Source organism: Homo sapiens, chromosome 5 (assembly GCF_000001405.40).
Source record: "Homo sapiens chromosome 5, GRCh38.p14 Primary Assembly".
In the NCBI taxonomy this organism is placed as follows: Eukaryota; Metazoa; Chordata; class Mammalia; order Primates; family Hominidae; genus Homo; species Homo sapiens.
Genome location: NC_000005.10, coordinates 156,020,727 through 156,046,163, shown reverse-complemented (window position 1 = coordinate 156,046,163; position 25,437 = coordinate 156,020,727). Strand labels below are relative to the sequence as shown.

Sequence of the window (25,437 nt, the reverse complement as noted above, 5' to 3'; positions counted from 1 at the left end):
GTACTGAGGCCAAAATGACTATAGCTGGACTGGAGCAAAATGGACTCCCCAAGCCATAGCAGCAAGGATTACTGTCTACACTGAGCTATGTATTATAATAAAATGTCTTTTACAATGGATGTGAAAAGGGCCATGTAAACAATTACATGGATTGGAGCATATTATAATTTTAAAAAATTAACCTAGTGTCATAAATAAAAGTGGGAGAGGAGCTATGCAAGATTCAGAGTTTTAAGGACCTGTCATAGACTAAATGTTTGTGTGCCCCCAAAATATTCATATGTTGATGCCCTAACTCCCACTGTGGCTACAGTTGGAGGGGGGCCTCTAAGGAAGTAATTCAAGTTAAATGAGGTCATAAGAATGGGGTCCTGATTTGATAGGATTAGTGTCTTCAGGAGAAGAGATACCAGAAAGCTTGTTCTCTCTCTTTCCATGCATATGAACCAAGGAATGGCCATTGGAGGACATAGTGAGAGGGCAGCTATCTACAAGCCAGGCAGAGAACTGTCACCAGAAACTGATGCTGCTTTAGTTGGATCTAGAACATCAAACCTCCAGAAGTGTAAAGAAGTAAATTTTTGTTGTTTAAACCACACAGTCTATGGTATGTTGTGATGGCAGCCAGGCTGAATTATATAGGTCCATAACAATCAGATGCCTGTGTGGTCCTGCATTGAATACTGATTTACGCAAGTCAGTCTTAAAGGACATTTCTGAATTAATTGGCAAAATTTTAATGTAGCATGGGTATTAAATGAGATAAAAATATATTGGAACGGAAAAGTGTAGATTATAGAAGGAAAATGCACAGATCACAAAACAGTATGTATAGTATTATCTTACGCTGTAAAATATACAGGTATATGTGTATGTGAGCATGTATGCTATGATTTGAATGTCACCTCCAAAACTTTTGTTGAAAGTTCATTGCTGTTGTGATGGTATTAAGAAGTTGGATTTTTAAGAGGTGATTAGGTCATGAGGGCTCTGTCCTCAGGAATGGATAAATGTCTGTGTTGAGAAAGTAGGCTCCTGATAAAAGGATAGGTTTGGAATGTCCCCAATTCTCTTTCTGTCTCAAATGTTCACTTGCACTTCTGCCATGGAATAACTGTAGCAAGAAGGTGCTCACCTGACCACATGCCAAGCAAACACTGCACCATGCCCTTGGACTTCTCAGTCCCTAGAACTGTGAGCCAATTGAACTATATAAATTACCCAGTCTGTGGTATTCTGTTATAGTAGCAGAAAACAAACTTAGGCAGTGTGCATGTGTGTATATTCACACACATATGTAAAACATGTGTGTGTGTGTGCACCTGGAAAGATATACACAAACTTATGGTTTGGATCTTTCAGTGGTAGAAATGTTATTTTTAATTTTGCTTCTCTGAGTATTCATTAATTTTCTACAATGCATATGTACTGCTTCCATAAAAATGAAATATCATTTAACGTAATTGATGGTAAGTCCTTCTATATGAAAAAAATTCTGTCGGTTTATAGAATGCTTTGATCTTCATACCTTACACCAATTTCCACTGTCACACCTTTCTCCCAGTGAACCAACTACAATTATGATCAATGGTTTTCTGTAGGGAGAGCTACTAACAGATACTCTGCCTGATTAAAAAGGGGAAGACAGCAAGTATCACTTGCCTATTGGCAAGATTCCATTCATTTATAGCTGAAGCAACCCATGATTCAATCCAACTAATTCAAATGAATCTTCCTAGGTGAATTAAATCAACCTCCCTATGAAAATATTCCTCTAAGTATTAAAGAGAATAATACCATCTTCTGGTCTGACAATTCAGAAAACAATCAAGCATGGAAATGTAGGGCCAAAACAGAAATACAACTTTTTGATTTTACTCCATTCAACAGCCTTTGTTGAGCATCTAATGTGCTCAAAGCCCTAGGCTTGAACATTTCACTCCCTCCTACCTGAAATGTTACATTCTTTCTTCCTCACCAACTATATGAATTTTACCTCTTCTTAAAGACCTTACTCTCATTCCAATTTTTCTAAGAAGACTTCTCTGACTTCCCCAGTCCAGAGCAAACATCCCCTGCCTCTGAAAGCATAGGGTGCTTAGGGGCTCTTTGACTGAATACATACAAATATTGAGCACTCTGTTATTTAAACATGTTTAATTCTCCCCCTAGAAGATTGTAGGATGCTGTATGGTAGAGTCTTTTAAAAAAATTCTCGGTTTTCTCCAGTGTTTTACCCTTGGAAGACATTGAATAAATGTTTGTTGATTAACTGACAGATTTGGGATTTGCCTTTCTCTTGGTCCAAAACTGTGGTACAAAACTGTGAGAGTACAGTTAATAGTTATTGAAATGGATGCCAACTCTCTAAACATGGTAATAATTCCTTTTTTAAAGAGTGTTGGATATTACTCTATTTTTTCAACTGGTTTTAAAAAGGGTAGGGCTGTTTTGTTAATTTACAATACAAAGAAGAAATCTCTTCCTTCCAGTCTGTGCCAGATGGGCTGAAATAATGAGAACTGAAGGTTTCCACAGTCATGCACCAGGTGACAAAATAAAAGCTTTTTCCAAGCAGTAAAACTGTTCTTTCTCTGCTGAGAAAGTGTCTTAAGAAGCAAGAATCAGCCAGCTAAAAGCTGTATCTTTGCCCCCACTTTCCCAGTGCTGAGCCAAGAATAGGAGACACTAGAGAGGTGAAATTTTGCCAAACCCCTGAGAAATTAGACAGTTGCTGCTGGAGATGCAAGAGGATAGGTGACATTTAATTGAGAAATTGCCTAATTTTCCATCAGTATGATAAAAAAATAACAATGTGAAATTGTTGGATCTTGATGTGTGTCTCTTAGTTAGAGGCAGGTGCCATCCAATTTCATTTTTTTAAGGCAAAGGATCTTAGCAACAAGGTGGCTCTGTTCCATGCTCTAAGGATGCATTTAGCAACATGGGAAGCTTCATGTATTGATACTTGTTCTTCCAGAACTTCTGATCTGCTCTATGTTCAGCAAAAACTGGTCATGAAACTGCCTTTGTAAAAATTGTAACCGTAAGAAAATTATGACAGTAAAAGAGATCTGATCTAATCAATCCCCATTTTATCTTTAATCTCCAAACTGTCCTTAATCATTCCTGGGGTTGGGCCAAGCTAATGTTGAGAGACATAGTTTAAATGACAATAGCCTTTCCCCAAAACTAAATTGCCTTTGTAAAGCTAATGAAAGACCACTAGGTGAGGAGGCTGAGCTAATGAAAGGACCACTAAGTGAGGAGGCTGAGAAGAGCCCAGTTCTGCTGAGGTGTAGATATAAATGATTACCAGCCATTATTCTGTAGGTCACAAGATTCACAACTTCCCCAATTACTCCAGCAGATAACATTTACAGAACCTAAGATTGGCCTTCTGAGATGTCTTTTCAGGTTTCTGCATATCTGACAACTGATGGCTCCCCCCAGGCCCACCAGCTGGTCCTGTGGCCCCATCCAGAAGCTGACTGAGCACACAAATGAACCATTTTCCACAACCCTATGATTGCATCCCCAACAAATCAGCAGCACCCACTTCCAGGCCCATCAAAACTATCCTTGAAAACCTCTAGCCTCTGAATTTTCGAGGAGACTGATTTGAGTAATAACACTCCAGTCTCTCATTCAGCCAGCTCTGCATGAATTAAACTCTTTCTCTATTGCAATTCTCCATCTTGATAAATTGGCTCTATCTGGGCAGTGGGCAAAATGAGCTTGTTGGGTGGTTACACTCACTGTTAAGCATGGGCTGTGGAGTCATCCCAATTTGTGTTAAATTCCTGCATCTGTCATTTATTAGCTGTGTGGTTTGGAGCAAGGGTATTAGCCTCTCAGTTCTTCAGTTTTGTCATCTATGAAATGCCAAGTGACACTTTCAGGTGCTTAACACCTGACACATACTTCTCAAAATGTGGAGGTTCTGTTATTTTCTTCTATCGACAAAAAAAAAAAATACCTATTTTAATTACTTATAAATTCAAAATTCAGAGTGTACCTAACTTCCAGATTTGGAGGAAACAGTCTACTTGTGCAGTTTTAGACAAGAACGGAACACATTAGAATCATTATAGTAGTTGCAACCCAAGGCCCTTGGTGTTGCTCCACTTCAGTTCTCCACATGTGCCAGCCTGGTCACTAGCTCTCACTTTGATCAAGCTCTTTATACCTTTGCCTTGACACCTATTTCTTTCCTATTCCTAGCATGTCCTTGGCTGCTATTCTCAGTATAGTCAAATTCCATCATACTTCAAGGCTTAGTCCAAAGGTCACTCACTGCCTTTGTGAAGTTGTGTAATCCACAATCAGAAGTTACTATTCTTTCTGGAACCTCTTCACAGTATTTAGAGATTACCTCTCTTTTATGTTTATTTTATTCTATTTTGCCTTATGATGATCTTCCTTACAGGAAACCTTTTTGCATGCCCTGCAACACATGCCTCACTTCTCAAAGGTTTGTCATTTTATAGAGAGCACTCTCTCTTCAAGTGTGTATCTTTCACACAGTTGCGAAAAGACACACCAAGTCTAGAGTTCTTTACATAATAGGTACTCAATAAATGGTTGATGGATGAATGATAAATGAATAACTTCAATCCTGTTGAAAATCAATTAAAAAACTCGATCTCTACTTTAGGCAGAACATTCTTCCTTCAGGCCCTCCTCTCCACCATCTCTCTTCTGATATTTCTACCCTTCCCTACTAAATAACAGTGTCTGCCTTTCGGAAGTATCGGAAAAAAATTTCTACCTGTGCTCCTATCCTTCCTCATTCTTCCATGCGCAAATGAGGAGAATGGGATAATCTTCCCAGTAAGGAAGGAACTGGACCGAAGTACAAGGCAATCAACCCATTCTGGGGCTCAGCACGCTAGACTGTGGATAAGTCAACCTGATTCAGAGGTGCTGTTGGCCTAGGCCATCTTTATTAGCTCAGCTTATCTGTGAGGCCTGTGTTGACTTTTCAATTGGTTTATAACTTACAGAGGGAAAAAGGGTATGATGTGCCTCCAGATACACATCTGATTATGCTTTTATAAGTCCTGACATTGAGCTGATGCTGGGAAGGATACTGGAAAAAAACACTATTTCAAATCTACTTCAGAAGGAAACACAGAACATCACAGTTTATGCCTCAGAACAATAACAGAAAAATCCCAAGAAGTTTACTTTTTTTGAATTGAGATTCTAAATCTGATGATGTTTTATTAATAGGCTACTATAAAATCAAAATGGGCCTTCAGCCAGTACATTCCTAAATTAGAGGCTTACACATCACTGGGCCAAGCTCCATCAGGATGGCACTAGATTCAGTAGAGGATTTTCAAAGCCCTAAAATAATCTGATGTAAGACTTAATATTAGATGCCCCATTATAAGAGATAATGAAAAATGTTATCTAAGTGGAAATGAAGGCATGCATCTGCCCACACTCATGGGAGGGTCACCAACAGCTGGATGAGAGATCCTGCACACTACACCACACCACCTAGGCCTATGAATTCATTTGCTCTGACAGCAAATGCAGAAGAGTGGAAAGTGGTGGCTTTTCACACTCACCGATTTTAATTCAACAAGGATCTAATCAGTTTCTACTTGGTATGCAGTGTGCTAGTAGTGCTGGCTGCCCTAAAGCATAAAAACACGTGTCATCTGGCTTGTTGTGTACTCCACAATGGTATTTTTGAGTTCCTCTACTGGATAATTATAATCAGGGACAGATCCACATTTTGTGGGGCTAGAAGCTTACACAATTTGTGGGATGCTCTTTAAGAAAGAGAATATAAAATTATAAACACAAAATATAGTGGACATTCTTGAAAGGGGCTCCCGCTTGTCGGAGACGCCAAGGCTTAAGCTTCATCAGTAAATCCTTCTCTGGCTGTAGCACAGTAGTGCTACATACAATTCCCATAAAATTATCTAGCAAATGGTCTGCTTAATGTAAAAGGAATATGCAAGGGGTGAAGCACCAATGATGATGGTGATGACGATAATGATTATATTTATACAGCGCTTACCTCTGTATCACTTCATGCTTTTGCCATTGGTCAGTATAAACCTATGTCAGAAGCTGGATGACAGCTCTTTGCTAATCTCCATTGTCTTGGAGCTCCACTTTTAGCTACTCTCTCCCACATAAAACTCCTTGTGTGGAACCTGCTGCTCCTACAAATGGCCTGACACTCACTGTAACTTATCTTCACAGTGCACCATTCAGAAGAATTTGAAGAGACTGCACATCAATCTCTTTCATTTCTAGAGCAGTTTAGAGGATTTTTTTTCTTTTATATAGGAGTCATGACAAGAGCCAACTGAAGCTTTTCTGCAAATACATCTCCCACGATATGTTACTTCTCTTTCTCTTTCACGATGCTGAAACAGAAAAAGGAAACTACTCTCTCCGTAGTAAAAGGAGCTTCATTGGATACCCTGCAAGGTATAAAAGCTGAAATGAGAAATGAGAAAACATACAATTCTTTAAGTCTAGGTAAGTTAGATTTCCAAGTGTTGCTTTTCCTTAACTGCTCAGTTGATGTTCAGACAAATGTTTCAATTGTCTAGTTTTCAGTTTATTATTTTATTCAACAGATAGTTTAAATATCTACCATGTGCCTGTACTTTATTAGACCCTAGCAATCCAGCCATAAATTTGTGAGAAAGAGCACATGCTTAGATACCATCATGCAAAAACAAAACCTCCCAAGGAGCTTGCTCCTTTCCTTGTCAATGGAGGATGTTGCCTTTAATTTTGATTCAGGATGCTGAGGGGTCTGGGTGGGGGCATACAGAGATAAAAATAGCAAACAGCATTTGAAATTTTCTTTAAAAATTGAAAATCAATATTGTCAGTTAGAAATGCATATATTAATAGTATGCTGTAGAAGGTAAAAAATGAACATGCAGAACTAAGTGTGCTGGCTGATTCACTAGAGAGGCATAGGGTATGACAGGAGCAAAAACTAAATGGTCTTATTGGTTCTTAGGGCTAGGTGGTGGAGTGGGCCATAAAGGAGGGCTTCTTAAAGGAAGTTGACTTAGGATAGAACCCAAATGTCTTTACGTATATGGGGACTGGGATGCTACCTTGATAAAAAGCTCCTGAGGCAGGAAAGGGCTATTTCTGTTTCTAGGGGGAAGATGAGGATGTCTGAATTGAAGAGCGAGCAAGCAGGTGGCCCTGGTGACATGGTCAGAGGCCAAACTGAGCAGGGTTTTGTAGGCCCTGCTAAGGATTTTGCCTTTTACCTAATATATACCACTTTGCATATTTGTAAAAACAATGTTAGACAGGAAAAAAATTAAAACAGCCTCAATGTGTGGTATGGGAGAAAGAGCCCTTTGTAGGTTCTTCTGCGCCTTTTCTAGAAACACAGTGCAAAGATCCCCAAGGAAGAAAGGCTGTTTATCCCCATATTCCCCATCTAACAAAGTAAGGAACAAAGTAAGGCTTTATGTAGCCATGTTGCCTCTGTAAATTTTGCTTTCTTGACTCGTAAAGAGAAAGCTTTGGTCATTTTGTGTGTGTGTGTGTGGGAGCCATTTTTTTTTTTACTTTTTATTTTGAAATAATTTTAGATTTGCAGGAAAGTTGCAAATACAGTACAGAGTTCCTGTATGTATCACATCCTAATAATTTTCCCTAAGATCAACATCTTATATAGCCATGGTGCATTCATGAAAGATGAGAAATTAACATTGGCATAATACTATTCACTACATTATAGACTTTTTTTCAGATGTCATTGATTTTTTTTCTGTTCCAGGACCTACTTTATGCTATCCCATTGCAATTAGTTGTCAGGTCTCCTTAGTCTCCCTCAATCTATGACAGTCTCTTCATCTTTCCCTGTCTTTCATGACCTTGATACTTTTGAAAAGTACTGGTGAGGTATTTTGTAGAATGTCTCCCTGCCTTAGGATCTATCTAATGCTTTCTCATGATTGGCTGAGGATATGAATTTCAGGGAAGGATGCCTTCTCATTGGCCTAATGATTTGAAGTTCTCTAACAGCTCTGGGTGTTATAAGAAAGGTAATTTCCCTGGTCTCTATCCCCATCTTCACTCTACCAGATCCAGAATAATCCACATATCAGATATGAAAGAAGTTTAAGATAGGACAGTTACGGGAAGGCTTGTGTACTATCTAGTTTTCTTTTTAGGGGGCTCATTAACCTTTGACTCTCCTCAAACTTTATTTGTTCTATTCATTGCCTGCATTTTTGCCTTCTCCCTGCACCCTGTAGCTACTACAGATGCAATATATTATATTGACATGATAAGTATTATGTTTCTTCAAAGAGCTTTTTTAGCATGATTACTTTTGGTCTTTAATAACCCCAGGGAATTTCTTTCTAGATAGCCTAGTCTGTCTACATTGGCAGGGAATTAACACGTGCAAGACCTGTGTCTGCAAATTTTCCAGACCTCACTGTTTGTTCTTTAAAAAGACAATGACTCATTCCCAATTATCTTTTATCTTGTAGACAGAGCCATCTTCCTGAATTTAAATCACAGCCATCAACAAGCTACCTAATCTATGAGTGGAATCTTTAAAGATGGAACACAACAGATGCAAGATGTTTTATGTGTCCTAAATAAGTTTGTGTAGGTAACTTTCATTTTAGGTCAATTTGACAGGCCAAATTGCCTGCTTACAGAGTTTAGGGAATTAGGACCTGAGAACTGTGCAGGTGCCATCAGGGGAATGCAAAGATGTGAAGAAATGCCTGGGACTGGGGAAAACATTGAGGAGAAAATGACTGCAGCTGCACTGTTTTATCAGCTCCATCACACTTGCTGTCACTGCCTTGAACACACAGTGTTCCCTTCTGCCTCAGGGCCTTTGCACATGCCACTCCTGCTGCTCAGATGGCTCCTTGTCCCCAGCTTCTTTTGCCTCTCTCAGGGAAGCTTTCACCCACCTCCCAGAATAGATCTGGTCCTCCGTCATCTACTTTTACAATTCCACATGTTTTTCCATCATAGCAAGTAATAAAATTTGTAATTACATGTCTGTGTTGTAATTGAATAAAAATAATGTCACCTAAAAATTACTGAGCACTCTTTATGTGTGCCAAGCACTACAACTCTCATTCAGTCTTCAAAACAAAACCATGGGGACACTGAGACACAATCTGATCAATTTCCAGCTCTCCAGTAAACTGTAAGTGGCATGAGGAGAGGTTCTGCATGTCTGTTTTGCTCTACCCTGAATCACTAGTGCTTGGCAAAGAGCTTGGCAGGAAAAAGCTTGGTCTATATTTATTAAACAAATAACTGCAGCATGACATAGAAGGAGAAACATGTGCTCTGGGGTGAAGCATATTTGGTTCCAAATCTTAACACAGAGTATGAGCCACTCTTAGGAACCTACCAGGCCCCACCAAGTATGGAAATAAAGGAAAATTTGAGTCTCTCCAAGGGAAATTCCAGGCACCTAGCTAGCCCTGTTACCAGCAATTGAGGAAGGGAATAAATAACCCATGAAGCAAGAAAGTAAAAAAAGCTTAAATAACAGTAACCCAAGTAAGTTAGAGTCTCAAGATGTTTTGTTCTCTAAAGAAACCAAAGGTAGCATCTTAACGTATGTCTCTGAGTTGTCTTTCAGAAACCTCGGCCCTCATCAGATGGAAAATGCCTAGTGCTTTCCCATAGACCTTAGATAAGGGGAAAATGAGGACTGAGATCTGACTGTCATTCTTTGCTTTAAATTTCTTCCTGAGGAGCCTGGATAGAGTCATGCTTACAGGACAGACCTGAACATTTCTTTCTGCTGATGATTTTGCCTGAAACTTCTGCTTTCCTGAAATGTACCCCTGCCTTTAAAAACTCTGCTTGTAAGCCACTGAGGAGTTTGGATCTTAAGTGTTAGCCACCTGATTCTCCTTGCTTGGCACCTGCTGTACAAGTCTCTATGACCTCTCACTGCAAATTTTGGTGACAGTGTTGGCTTTTTCAGCCCACCAGGCAAGCAGACTCAAGTTTTATTTAGTGACAATCTCAATTCTGTGATTAGCTAGCTCTGTAAATTATAACAGCTTATTTAGCTTCCCTAAGCCCTGGTCTATCTGAGATCATGAAACCTCATCACAAAAGCCTTTAAAGGATTTAGATGAGATAATATAGGTGAAAGCACATTCTTGTGTCCAGCATGTATATAACTATAAAGCTGTGATATAACTAACAGCTTCCCTATTAAAAAATATTTCTTAGAGTTATAACAGTTCTGCAATTTTTCTTGTGATGGTATCACTATTCCTAAACACCATTTTGATACTTTGCTCACCAAAATGCTACGCTTCAAGATTATCACTTTGTGTTCCTTCTCTGATCTTATTCCAAGAATGAAGATGGGTTAAATATAATTCACAGAAACACGTCTAATGGAAGTTAACAGGAAGTAGTCACTTTACAATCCATTTTATTGGATTATAGAAAGGCAAATTACATTTCTCCTCTGCCATTAGAGAACCACCTAAATAGCCACCCCATTCTACTCTTGTTTTTATTATTATTTTTTATTTTTTTGAGACAGGGTCTCCCTCTATTGAACTCCAAGCTGGAGTTCAGTGGCACAATCATGGCTCACTGTAGCCTCAAACATCTATGTTCAAGTGATTCTCCCACCTTAGCCTCCTGAGTAACTGCAAATATAGGCATGTGCCACCATACCTGGCTAATGTTTTTATTTTTCTTTTGTAGAGACAGGGTTTCGCTACGTTGCCCATGCTAGTATTGAACACTTGGCCTCAAGTGATCCTCCCGCCACAGCCTCCAAAGTGCTGGTTAAAGGCATGAGCCACCATGACTGGCCCTATTCCACTTTTCAGGCAGACAAAATTACTGTTTTAACCACTCTGTTAAGGCTTTGGCAGCAGGTTAAAGTTGCACGAGTAGATGGTAGAATTCAATCCCAAACTTTAAAATGCACAAGACAAAAGGGAATAATATTAGCATTTCAAAGTAGAAAAACAAACAGACTCACCGAGGAAAACTTTAAGAAACACCTTAGGATTAAATTCCTTTGAAGAGCCTTGATTCCTGAAATAACAGAATGGTTATCTAATGGTATCCATTATGTCTCACTAATTGCCTTATGAAACTTACACTGGAAACATGTAGAAGGTATTTATGTATTATAAAAATTGCCAAAAAGTATGATATTAGAAGGTGTTCACAAAAAGAAAATAACAAAACTTGCTTACATTTATTAAGCACTTACAATATGCTAAGCTCTGAACTACACATTTTAACTAAAGTAGTTTTCATTGGATCCTATGACACATTTATCCAACAAATATTGACTAAGTGCTTACTATGCATGAGGCACTGTACTTACAGCAAGACAAACATAGTTCCTGCTTGCATGAAGGATGAAATCTAGTGGGTGAGACACATCTTGAACAGTTTCTTAATGTTTATTGCATAATTTCACATGACCAACTGATTCTGACTTGCCTTGAACTTTCCTGGTTTTTATACTGGAAATTTCACATCCTGAGAATAACTTTCTCAGTACTGGGGGAAGGAGAATAACTGGTCACTTAGCAAAATCACACAAGACACAATTGATTATAGTAAGTGCTATTACAAAGAAGTACAGAGTTATATGAACTACGGATGGTTAGCCCTCTTTTACAGATGAAGATAACAAGGTTTAGGAAAGCTAAATGGCCACATTCATATGTGGGAAAGGAAAGCTTTGAAGCTTCATTGTTCTGGCACCTAATTACATGACCTGATTTCATGTAATGATGATAATATATCTTCTGGTACTTTATACTTCAGAGTCCAAATCTAGACTCGCACTAATTAATGAAATGTTTTCAAAAGGTTTGGTGGAGGAAGGTTCATCAGAACAAGGAAAGACAGAATTCAGAGCAAATCCCTTGGATCTGGATCCTAAATGCAGCTCCATCACTGCTGGAAACACCTGCATATCTTTCAGCTGTGGGTGGCTCATGTGAAAACGAAAGAAAGCATTTTTCTGCTTGACTGGAGTCTTTTGCAGGAGACAAAAAGTGTTTCTTCAAGTGTGAGGAGTGGGGTAGGAGAGAGGGACTATTAAAAATTGGCAGGGCATACCTAAATACCTCTGGGCAGTGGATGAAAAATATCCCTGGAGGGTATTACAGCAGTTCATTTTGGTTAGCAAGACACAGTTTTCCCTTGGTAGAAAGTTGGTGAGGAAAAGATTGTGTCTTGCATTGAACAGTTTGATTTGGCTGGCATCTTTGATATAAAAAATTAAGTGCAAAAATGGGCAATGTGAGCCAGTAAAAAGAGGTTCAGAGTAACCCCCATCATATGCTCACTCCAATGATGGCAGGGTCTTTGGTCTATTTTGGTCACTGCTGTATTCCCTGCACACAGAAAAGGACATTCATTGCACATAGTATGCCCTCCCTAATATTTGTTGAATGGTTGAGGGCGCAAACAATAGTCTTAGTTTCTAATTTGCAAATGTGAGAAAGCTACTTTACCTCCCTGGGCCTTGGCTTTCACCTCCATTAAAGAGGAGAGTTTAACTGGATGACTTTTATTACTTCCAACAAATTCAAATTCAAGGTCTACACTTCAGGTTAAGAATTCATCCATGGATTCTTATTTCACTTACCCTCAGTGAGATAACTCAGAAACAGAAAGTCAAATACTGCATGTTCTCACTTACAAGTGGGGACAAAACAGTGGGTACACACGGACATATAGAAGGAAACAATAGACACTGGGGACGCCAAAAGGAGAGAGGGTGGGAGGAGGGTGAGGGTTAAAAAATTACCTATTAAGTATAGTGTTCACTATTTGGGTGACGGGTACACTAGAAGCACAAACCTTACTATTATGCAATATATGTATGTAAGAAACCTGCACTTGTATCCCCTAAATATATTAAAATTTTTTTAATTGTTAGATTTGTTGAAGTTTGGTTCAGGAGGCCATGGTTCCTGAAGGCATCAATTCACAAGGATCTCAACAAGTACCACAGAATGAAGAAACAGACAAATTTGAGCTTCTTTTTTTTTGTTTTTTTATAAAGTATTCTATTTTTAATTTTATTATTTTTGAGACGATGTCTCACTCTGTCTCCCAGGCTGGAGTATGGTGGTGTGATTACAGCTCACTGCAGCTTTGACCTCCAAGGCTCAAACGATCTTCCTGCCTCAGCCTCCTGAGTAACTGGGATCACAGGTGTGTGCCACTATACCTGGCTAATGTTTTTATTTTAATTTTTGTGTAGAGATAGGGTCTCCCTATGTTGTCCAGGCTGGTCACAAACTCCTGGGCTTAAGAGATCCTCCTGCCTTTACTTCCCAAAGTGCTACAATTACAGATGTGAGTCACTGTGCCACGCCCCAAATTTGAGCTTCTGCCTGGTGCTAGGTGTATTTGGGAATTAAACACTCTTTTTTTTTTTTTTTTTTTTTTTTTTTTTTGAGACGGAGTCTTGCTCTGTCGCCCAGGCTGGAGTGCAGTGGCTCACTACAAGCTCCACCTCCCGGGTTCATGCCATTCTCCTGCCCCAGCCTCCCTAGTAGCTGAGAATACCGGCGCCTGCCACCACGCCCAGCTAATGTTTTGTATATTTAGTAGAGACGGGTTTTCACCATGTTAGCCAGGATGGTTTCAATCTCCTGACCTTGTGATCTGCCTGCCCTGGCCTCCCAAAGTGCTGGGATTACAGGTGTGAGCCACTGTGCCCGGCCATTAAACACTCTTTTACCCTTCAATTGACAATGTATCTAAAAGTTGACTCATTTCAAGCCAGAAATAAATTTGAATAAGACTCAAAGAGTTAAAAAAACAAAAAAGAATACAACCCATAGACAGGGTGAGTCTCAATGTCAGGGCATATTTCTAGATGCCTAACTAAACAAGAAGAGTTAAATAAATTATAGCATAGTCATAAAATAGAAAAACAAATCACCATTAACATTGATATTGTAGAAGTATGTTTATTGACAAGAAAATTGTTCATGATACTGTTAGGTTTTTTTTTTTATTTTAAGTTATAAAACAAGCATAAGCCATATAGTGTGATCTATACACGTGTTCATATGCAGGCCTAGAAGGAAACCTGAAGAGATACACACTGATATGTAAGCAGCGATTCTCACTGAATTGTAGATTTATAGGTAAGTTTATTTTTATGATTATCTATCTATATCATCTAATTTTCCTCTATGGCTATGACTTATCATATAATATAAATTGATATAATGACTTAGCACCTAATAAGCACCTAGCTCTTCAGTAATGAGGTGCCATAATGTAGGCATTAGGACTTGGGCCCTGGAATCAGACCACTTGGTTCAAATCTTGGTTAAGCCCCTTGGTTACTGTGTGGCCTGGCTGAATTATTCAACTCTCCCCCACTATAAAGCAAACAATAATATTCAACTCACAGATTGGTGCTGAACTTTAAACTAGGTAATCCGTGCAAAATGCCTGACATACATCATACACTTGATAAATCTTAGCTATTATTATGCCAAATACAAAGAAATAAGTTTTAGACTATGTAAGCCTGTCAAATAATATGGACATTATCCTCAGGGAGCTTTTAATTTGGTAAGAATAATAAGACTAACACACAAGAAATGAAAGGAAAACCTTACAATAACCTCCTAGAGTCAAAAATCTGGAATAATTTTTGCCTTCTGTCTCAAGCAGCCTTTACATTCGATGAGATGCCAAGTCCTGCCTGGTGGGAAGCTCTTTCCCCATCATGCCCACTGCCACTCCTCCTCCTCCAGTTCATGTTTCTCTTCTGCCTGCTCACTGTATTACATTCCAAAGGGTTTCTAGGCCTCTTGTCTCATTTTCAAGTTCCTGTCTGTCTACATCAGTGGTTCTCAAAGAGTGGTTCTCAGACTAGCAGCATCAATATCACCTGAGAACTTGTTAGAAATGCACATTCTTGGATCCTAACTGAATCAGAAACTCCAAGGATGGAGCACAGGAATCTGTGTCATAAAAAGCCTTCTAGGGGATCCTGATGTGCATGTCAGCTGGAGAACTTCTGCTCCATACAATATTGGCAGATCAGTCTCCCCAAAGCACATAAGCTTCTGTCACTGCATATCCCCCACTTGTCTCTGGCTACTGAGTAGATGGTGACAGATTTTCTTATGCTGCTACTGGAGGCCTTCTGCCCATGGTCTAGCACCAATCTACTTTTTCAGGCTCATTTTCCACTACTTTTTTTCACTCAAAAACATGCCCTAGTACAACTAAAGCATGTAATTCTCCCTAGACACAGTCCATGGTATATTCTATGTGTGTTTCTATTTGTACTATTTGTACCTTTATTTGCACTATTTCCTAAAGCTACATGTAATTTCTTCTTCCTTTGCACCTTAGATGTCCCAACCCTGCTCACTCTCAAGACCCAGGGCCCCCCCATGAAACTTCTCTCAATAGGCCCACAACCCCCTATGGAAATGACTACTTCCTTCTCAGAACAACAAAAGCATTCAACTCACCCGTCCTTTCCCCCATTCATTTCCTTGGTATCACCACAATGTTTAGTTTACTAGGGCTGCTATAAAAAATGACCATAAACTAGGGGGATTTAAAATAACAGAACTTTATTTTCTCACAGTTCTGGAGGCTAGAAGTCTGGAATCAAGGTGTTGGTGTGTTAGCAGGGCCTCACCTTTCTCTTAGCATCTGGTGCTGCCAGCAATCCTTGCTGTTCCTTGGCTTGTAGACATGCCACTCTCATCTCTGCCTCTGCCGTCACCTGGCATTTCCCCTATGACTATGGGTCTCTTATAAGAACATTATTAAGCCATTATTGGATTAGGACTCACTCTTACCCAATATGACCTCGCCTTAACTTGATTACATCTGCAAAGACCCTATTTCCAAATAAGGTCACATTCTTAGATCCTACAGGATAGGACTTCAACATATCTTTCTGGGGAACACAATTCAACCATGGTAATTTGCATATATTACATATCACCCCTAATCAAGAGTAAGCTCCTTGAAAGCAAGCACTCTAGCTCATTCCTATTTTCATTTCCCTGTATTGGTTAATGAACAGAAAACTAAAGACATAAAGTAGAATGTAACTAAGCACCCGTTACCTTAACTAGTATCTGAGCACAAAATTATGTGACATGGTCCATTCAGTGTGGGAAATTGGGAGGTGAGGGAGGTAGGTTTATGAGGGCTGGAGGGCTTGGCGAAGGCTTTCTGGGGGAAGAAAGGCTGCTTAATGAGTAGACAGGATTTGGAGACAGAGAGAAAAGAGGCTGTAAGTTTCCAAGTAGCGAAGCTGTATGAACGAAATATTGTCAATACAAATTTTTTTAAAAAATTAGGTAAAGTGAAATTAAAAAAAAATTCTGTGTTGGCATAGCCAGAGCCCTAGAGAACAGATCTGGAGGTAGAAGATGGATATTGAACAGAAATGGGAAATGATCCATCACTTGTTCTTTTTGTTAGTTCAGTGATCATTGTTTGGTCTCTTCTCTATTTTTCCTGCTAGTTTATTACTCCCTGGCTGGCTTCTAAATTCTGTTTCTGAGAGAAGATAATTGAATTGGCAGCCGAATATGCCCATACAACCCTGGACTTCATTCTCCTGATACTAAGCATCTTCTCATGTTAGAGGGCAAGCTAGAGAGTGAGGATAAAGATCACATCTACCTTGGTTACTACAGTATCTCCAAGGCTTGTCATGCAAAACAGGCTCCACAAGTATATCTTGAATGAATGAATGGATGGATGACAAGACAACTATAAGGGTGAGTGAGTGTGTTTGTGTGTTTGTATGTGTGTCAGTGTCATTCCATCCCATTAACTATAGATTCCTGATTACAGAAAAATAACCATAAAACTCTATTACTACAGATTCTGAAAGTGTATTTGACTCCATTTTTTGTTACTTAGTCCTCAACCTTGTTTATATTATTAATCCATTAGACAGAACCTGTGCTTATATCTGTTTCATATTCAGTTAAACACAGCATTTTCTTGATTAACATTATATCAGACACTACTCATGCAGAACCGGTTTGTATTCAAATTCAAAGCAGATGATGAGGTTGAGAATGGTGACCTTAATTAATTAATTCTCTAATTGCACTCTAAAAAAAAACATAAAAGCCTAAAAGCTAGATGAAAAATGTTTGATTTTGTTCATAATTTTCCCCAAATTTCCTCCTGCGTACACACACTTAAAGTGTATTAAACAAGCAGCAGATACAGTTTGTGATTTCGTGCTGAGTGGTATGTCTTTTAATTAGTAATATTAACATTAAAAATCTTTCTTTGACAAGCAACAGTAGGTTCAGACGACATCATGCTGTATTCTCTTCCTTGTGAAAGACGATTATTAAATTGTTATCTTGTGATTCAGAGAAAATATTAAATCTCTTTCAAAGAAAAAATTTTCTCCATGACTTTCTCATGATGTGTGGTACAAATATTTTAATGGCTCATCTAGGATCACTGCCTTCATTATATACAGAAGCATAGGAAAATCAAAAATAATATTCTGACTGATAGAACTCACTATCCTTATCATCATAGCAAGCAATTATTGACCAATTCCTATATACCATGCAGAGTTTTCAGTATTCATTAAGGCAGAGCATTAAGATAGCTAATTTCATCATCATCACAACACTGAGCTAAAAATTATTGCTATCATTTTACATAGGAAGAAACTGAGATATTAGAGGGTAAATAACTGGCCCAAGTTCACAAAGTGACTAATTCAAGGTGTCTGATTTTAATTCAGTTCTGTCTGACTCTAGAAAGTGTATGCTCTTTACTAAATTATTCTCTATTTATTTTTGAACTGAAAAAAGGTAAACCATAAGAAAACCAGATGATTTTAGAAAAAGAATCATAGAGTCATGTTCAAGGGCTATTTCTGGGCTGAACGCACATTCTACCCTGTCTTCGATACTGCCATTATGACTAACAATGATAGTCACTGAACCCAGAAACAGCACAAGATTCAGAAGATGTTGAAGTAAAACTCCATTGCCTTCTTTAGAGAGAGTGCTATTAGCTGAAGTGTTCCAAAATCCCTCTGTTGAAACTTAATTGCCATTGTGATAGTTTTAAAAGACAGGAGCTTTAGGAAGTAAGGTGGGACCTTTAGGAATGGGATTCACATCTTATTAAAGAAGCTTCACACAGAGTCCACCCTTTTTTGTCCTTCCACCTTCTGCCATATGAGTATACAGTGTTTAAGGCACTTCTGCCATATGAGTATACAGTGTTTGCATCTTGGAAGCAAAGACCAGGCACTCACCAGAAACTGAACTTGCCAGTGCCTTAATCTTAACATTATATCACATACTATTAATGACAATTAGCCAAATTTATTATCAAATAAATATTTTAATATTAAGTAGCAGTAGAATTATTTCCTTTTAACCTGAAATGTTGAATGTAGACTGATGTACTATACAAAATAATGTAACATCTGTCTTAGCCCTCATTAGATCATTCATTCTTTTTTTCTTTAATATATAGTCAGCATATTGAGTACCTACCATGTGTGAGGTTTTCTGGGAAATGTATAGCATTTTAAAAGATGATTTTCCACCCCACCTCCCCTGTCATCTAAGGAAAAAAGACTAGAATAAAATTCATCATGATATCTGCTATTCAATTGTCATCATATTCTAATAAAATTGGAATCAGTGTCAGATCCATAAGAGTTGTAGAGTAGGAGACATATTTGTATTGGCATTATTCCATTTTGTTTGTCCCCACATAGGCAGGTCCTCAGAAATCCCTTCCAATTATTCAAAATTCACTTTTAAACCCTTTCTTCATACCAAGTTGTTGAATCTGGGATGTCGTAACGTATCTCCCTTTCTAGAAACTTGGTGCCCAACTTGGATTTAAACACCTAAAATAGATAATACACCAGAAGAAGAGTTTGGAATATCAACTAGGAATGAATAAGGATTGTTTGTGATTGAAAAAGCCAAAAATATTTTCTGATATTCCTAAAGATGTTTTGCATTTGCTAACCCTGTTTGAAATACCAAGTTACGTCACCAAAATGCCTTTATTTATTTGAGAAAAAATACTGCTGGTTAACAGCAAGTAAAATAAGTTACTCAGGGATTGTGGATTAAGCTAACAGTCTGCAAACTATCACCTATAGACCAAGTCCTGCCTGCCACTTGATTTTGTAAAGCTTTATTGAAACACAGTAACACCAATTCATTCATATTTTTTTTCATCATTTTTGTACTACAATGACAGAGCTGAGTCATGACAGAGACATAGCTGGCAATGTCTAATAGATATTTACTATTTGGCCCTTCATAAAAAGTTTCCCAACTCCTGGTGTAAGCCATCAGTCAGATTTTTCCCAAAGACCCATATTCCATGATCTATGGACTCTCTTACAACCGCCTGATCTGAGGGATTACCTGGGGAACGTGACTAGAACCCAGGCACTAGGGAGGACAAAGTAACATTAATCTTGGTATCAATTGTGAATTGGGCTTGATACTAGCAGGAAGCTGACGATTAAACTTAACAAATTTTACTTAAGCCTTCCCAAGGACAAAATTCTTGAATAGTTTGGGCTCAAACAATGCTTTCATATAAAAAGATGGACTTGTATAATTGAAAGTACATTAAGTCACACAGAAATAAATTTAAATTCTGGCTTTGTCCCCTACTGGTTCCAAGATTGGGGTTCCTTCTCCTCCTGAGAGGTCAGACTAAGTCTCATAACCCTAATATCCAGCAGGCTCTTTGTTATAGGATTTTATATATCCACTTCCCTCAGAACATTTATCTCAGGTTGTTTTCATATACTAATAACTGTAATTATTTGATTGTCTCCAATACACTGTAACATTGATGATAATTGTTGTAATGTCCATTTCTTGCTCTCTAACATTATATTTGGGGCACAAAGTACATTCTCAATAAATATGTTGCCTGATATTTGTTGTCAATCTAACAACAAGTATTTTTTGCTGCCTACCACCCACAGTACTAAGTTGCATATTTCTATCTTCCTGAGAGCCTGGCAATGAGCCTTGCATTTATCAATAATTCAGTGACTGTTCTTTGGTAAATTGAAAGTCTAACTAAATTTGATCTAACAATAGCTGACTAGAGCCACCATTTCTGGCACTCACTTTATAGATAATGATGTCACCTTGTGGCTCAAAGAAACTTGGTGACAGCTGTTATTTCACATAAGTGATAATACTTTCATCTCCTATACTTTTAAAATAAAGGGCCAATGGAATGTTTAAACAGCATGAACAAAACTACCACCAGATGGCAATTCTTTCTTGTCACCCAGGAATCACTTCTGCTCTATTCCAACAGTGTTTTGCTTTTCTGAATGTGCTCTTTCCCGACATTGAGATTAGTCTGAGAATCAGAGTGGCAAACAGCACACTTACAGCAATTTCCATTATAATAAAGGTTAACAAAATAATACAACATAATACCACCAAGGGGATTAGGAAATATGATGCTTATAGCTGCAGTGAGAAAGAAAATGGAGAAAAATCTCATATTTATCAAAATAGGCCCATAGAATAGTAGTGCTCTAAGATGCTCCATGAATAAAAAGTGCTATGAGCAAATGAATCTGGGTAAAACTGCAAAGGATGGACCCATCTTGAAGACAGACAAAGTATGTTACCAGGTCTAAAGCTCCAACAAAGTCTGGCAAACATGAAAATATACTACAATTTGACTGAGAGTGGTAAGGATTTTTAGTGCTCACTCACATCTGAGTTTTCATACCTTTCCTGGGCAAATAGAAGATTCTCAGCCCTTGTCATTAGTCAGGACCTTATGACTTGCTCCAACTAATGAGATATGAGTGGGAGACTCATGGGCCACTTTCATGCTGAGGCAGAGGAAAGCTTCTGTGTGACCTCCCAGCCCTCTCATTTCCTATGGGGAGATCATGAACACCATGCTGATACAATGGTAGAACCACATCATGGAAGTGATGAGGATCACTAAATCACCACACGGAAACCAGTTGCTCTGGAAAGTCCTCCCACTACCATTGGACTTTGGATAAGCAACAAAGAAACTTTCTCCAAGTTAAGCCACTGAAATATGGAAAATAATTTGTTACTCCAGTATAATCTACCCCAATACAATGTTTCCTCAACTTATTGGCCACAGCTTTCTTTAGCCATTTCTTTTTTTTTTTTTTTGAGATGGAGTCTCGCACTGTTGCCCAGGCTGGAGTGCAGTGGCACGATCTCGGCTCACTGCAACCTCTGCCTCCAGGGTTCAAGCAATTCTCCTGCCTCAGCCTCCCGAGTAGCTGAGACTACAGGCACACGCCACCATGCCCGGCTAATTTTTTGTATTTTAGTAGAAACGGGGTTTCACCATGTTGCCCAGGCTGGTTGCGAACTCCTAAACTCAGGCAATCTGCCCATCTCAGCTGGGATTACAGGCATGAGCCACTGTGTCCAGCCTCTTTATCCTTATAAAAAATAAATATCACAGAAAAATTATTACAGGGAAACACTGCAGGAATCAATATACTATCTAAAATAGAGTTTTTCCAGGAACCATAACTGGAGCATTTTGAATTCTCGGCCACAGTGATTCATTAAACAAGCTAATATAGTCCAGCCTACAAAAAAGGTAGAGGAAGAATCCAGAAAGCTTACTCAAAAGGTCAAGAGAGGTACTAGAGGCCAGACAACTAGGTTGGAAATGCAAAAAACTGAATTTTATCTGTGTCTGCTTTCCCCACTAACTTTCACAATCTTGTAGGCCAAATGTTGTCTCTTCCTTCAACATTTCATAGGGCAAGCATTTATTGAGTGCATCTTGAGGACGTCATACAAGATAAGCCACATTTTCAATTTACACTCTATTTTCTTCCTCCCTGATCACCATCCCATTGGGGTATCTTCTCCATCAAAGCACACATTGCCTGTCTCAGTCTCTTGGCATTTACCTCAAGCTTCCCTGTGTCGATAGATATCCATTCACTTTTGTAGAAGAAAGGTCTGAAATGACTCAGCTTCCTATACCTTCCGATACTTACGCTGCCATCCTTGGAACTCCAGAATCTGCAGCCTTGGCCAGAGCTGACTAAATCATGATCACTGTGGAAATTAAAGGTAGCAACAGCAAACCACAGGAGAACTGCAGCCATCTGGTGACCTGTCCTAAGAGCCTTTCTGACAGGGATGCTCGACACTGGATTCCAATCAGAAATCCAACTAAACCTCTCTTGAGAAGCGTCAAAGTCAGAAAGCCAGACAAGTGATAGCAAGGGAAGAAGCAATTGCAGAGTAGAAGTTGAGACCAAATAAGAGGCATTAAGTATGGCAGAGCTTCGTGAAAACTCTAGCTTGTTAGACAGCCGAAGATGTATTGAGCCAATAAAGCTACTGTGCATCTTGAACAATGCTCCAGGTACCCATAGCTCCTTGCTAGCATTACTGAGATAATTCTCTGAACGTTCTCACACTTCCTCTTAGGTAACCTGAGCCCATCTCAACACTTTGGCACCTGAAGGAGCTCAGCCATTACTCATCAAACTCACATTCTAAGTTACTTGAGAGAAGTGACTAGTGCTAATCATTTTATTAAGCCACCCATAGTGCTAAATCATAAAGGCTTGCACAATAGTAGATGCACAAGTAATTAGTGCCAGTAATGTTTACTGACATACCTACTCAATCTCAGGTGCAGGCAGCATTTAATGAGACAGAAAAGTTCCTGAACTCTCAGAGCCCATACTCTAATTCTAATTCTCACTCCAATACTTGACTGGTTGGTTGAGGAGAATATTAAGCACAGTTCATGGCAACATGGGGGAACAATTTTCATGTGGAAGACAAGGTATAAAGCCCCCAAAGAATCATTTGTACCACCTGGATTCAAAATTTTCCTTCTTTAATAACCACCATTTATCAAGCTCCTACTATGTGCCAGGCACCCTGTTGGGTGCCTACACATGTGCCCTAATTTAATCCTCCTAAGAGTCCCAAGACAGGGATGTCATCATTCATATTTCAAAGGTGAAGAAAAGGAAGTTCAGAGAGTTTCAATGATTGACCAAAGAATCACTGTGTGGGTCATGGAGTTATAATGCAAATTCTGTTTTTGCTAGCTCTTTCTAATTCTAAGTTTGTGCTCTCCCCACTGTGCTACACTTAAGAGAAAAATGATGAGCTTTTTAGCTGGGAAACAAAGAAGTGACAGCTGGGTGGAAAAGCACCTTGTACCGTATTTTCACTCTGTGCGATTCATAGTAATCTGACAGCAGAAGATTATTTTCCAGGGTGAGTTTCTCATATAACAATGAAAGAAAAGTATTATTATCAGGTTCTACTCCTATCTTTTTATTGTGGCATAAGAAAAAGGAAAAGGAGAAAAGAAAAAAGAAAAGGCAAAATGACAATGAATATTGTATTTAAAACAATTAAAAATATTTAATAGAAAGTAACTTGCCTCACATATTCCTTTCTATAAAAACAGGTACAAATATTTGCCACAAAAATATTCCCTACATACCATCACTAAAACCAATTTATATCCATTATTGGGAAAGTAGAACAAATCTATGTCAACTCGTTTCTTCTATAATTGAAGTTATAAAATGTGTTATGTTTTCATGCTCTGATAATGTTGCAAAAATTAAGCATTGCAAAATGCTGAAATAATTTCTTCAAAAAAGAAACTACATGTTATTCTATTTTAGAAGTCACATTTGAACATTTATAATAATTCCATAGCATGATATTTAAATGTTTTAAGAATAACAATTAATAATCAGGACTTAATTTCACATTTCTACTGTTTTAAAGGTGAGCTCGTTTCAGTACTTAAAGTCTGTGAGGTATTTTTAGAAGCTTATGAAATCACAATATAACAACAAACATAAAATATTACCAAAATGTATTTGGCAATAAAATTCAGTAAGTATTCAGCAATAAAAAGGAGTGAAGATTTGATAGATGGAGGACCTTGGAAACATTATGCTAAGAGAAATAAGCCAGACACAAAAGTCATGTATTGTATGATACTATTTATATGAAATGTTCAAAATAGGCAAATCTGTAGAGACAGAAAGTAGATTTGTGGTTTTGAGAAGATGGGGGCATGAGTAGGGGAAAATGAAAGTGACAGATACTGGGTTTCTTTTGGGGGTGATGAAAATATTGTAATTGATAAAGATGATGGTTGTACAACTCTGAATATACTAAAAACCGATGAATTATACACTTTAAATGGATGAACTGTATAGCATGTGAATTACATCTGAATAAAGATATTATGTTAAAAAGATCATTTACCACCAGGGCCAAATAGCAGCTGCTCCTCGAATCACTCTTCTCATGCTTTCTGCTTCTCACCCTCATGCTCCTTCCTCTGGCTCCTGAGATATGCCAGGCTCCGGCTCACACCAGACCTCTGCTCTTCCCACTGTACACCCTCCCACCGTTTCCGCTACCTCCAACCCACCACAGGTTGCCGAGGCCCAAGTTAACTTCTGCTCTTCTTGAACATCACATTGCAGCTTTCATGTGACTTTCCTGACTCTCCAGTATCATCCTTGCAGAGTACTCACAATCACCCTATACACCTGCATGTTTATTTAGGCCTTTATTATTTTATTTTATGAGACAGGCTCTAACTCTGTTGCTCAGGCAGAACTGCAGTGCTGTGATCACAGCTCACTGCAGCCTCAACCTCTTGGGCTCAAGCGATCCTCCCACCTTAACTTCCCAAGTAGATGAGACTACAGGTTCACACCACCATGCTTGGCTAATAGTCACCATGCTTGGCTAATTAAGGTGTTTCTACTCTTATCTTGTTCCTCCAGCTGGAAGCACAGCACCTGTCATACAATACATGCTCAATACATATTTGAAAAATAAATGATTTATTTAAACTTTTTTAAAAAATTATGAAAAGCCCCTACACAACTCCTTTTCTCCCTGTTTTTTTCTCTATCAAAGAAATATGGTGAGAATGTATTAAAAACTTGCACATAACTGTTAATTCAGGGGCATATTAGTGGAACCATTGGTATTAAACATAAAACTGATTTTTTCCCCAGTGATTTCTTCCAGAAGATAAATGTCCTCAAGCAAAATAACCAACAGAATTGCAAAGACAATTTGTGGATGAAGAAAGAAAAGCCTTTTTAAAAATATGAACAATGATTGTTTTGTTTTCTGTGCAAGTTTTGTTCTGTTCCAGACATAATCACTCAATAAATATCTCCAGAAGGCCAGCCGAGTGCAAGAGGTCACAGCAGTTAGGAGGAAGTTCAAATGCAGCCTCATAAACTGCACATCAACTGTGAAATGAAAATAATCCAAAGTCCAAGGGGTTGTTATGAGAACTAAATGAGAAACACTTGTAAGACAGTTAGCATAGAGCCTGACCAATACACACTAGCGATGATGA

General features: G+C 38.5%; 1 protein-coding gene across 4 annotated transcripts in view, besides 1 other annotated feature; it reads right to left on the bottom strand.

The window, feature by feature from the left end:
* SGCD (sarcoglycan delta) overlaps window positions 1–25,437 on the bottom strand; it is a 1,039,957-nt gene that overhangs the window by 721,625 nt on the left and 292,895 nt on the right. The window contains exon 3 of one of the 4 annotated variants that reach the window (XM_047417518.1): window positions 11,009–11,064. The exons of the other annotated variants lie outside the window; for them this stretch is intronic. The gene's annotated coding sequence lies outside the window, so the exon portion shown is untranslated. The remainder of the gene's footprint in view (window positions 1–11,008; window positions 11,065–25,437) is intronic. 4 annotated transcript variants of the gene reach the window in all.
* Window positions 2,926–3,474: an enhancer, noted in NCBI's record as "OCT4-NANOG hESC enhancer chr5:155469700-155470248 (GRCh37/hg19 assembly coordinates)". NCBI's record gives its function as "activates a minimal SCP1, AML or CMV promoter by ChIP-STARR-seq in primed H9 embryonic stem cells {active_cell/tissue: H9 hESC(primed)}" and the evidence as "EXISTENCE:reporter gene assay evidence [ECO:0000049][PMID:30033119]".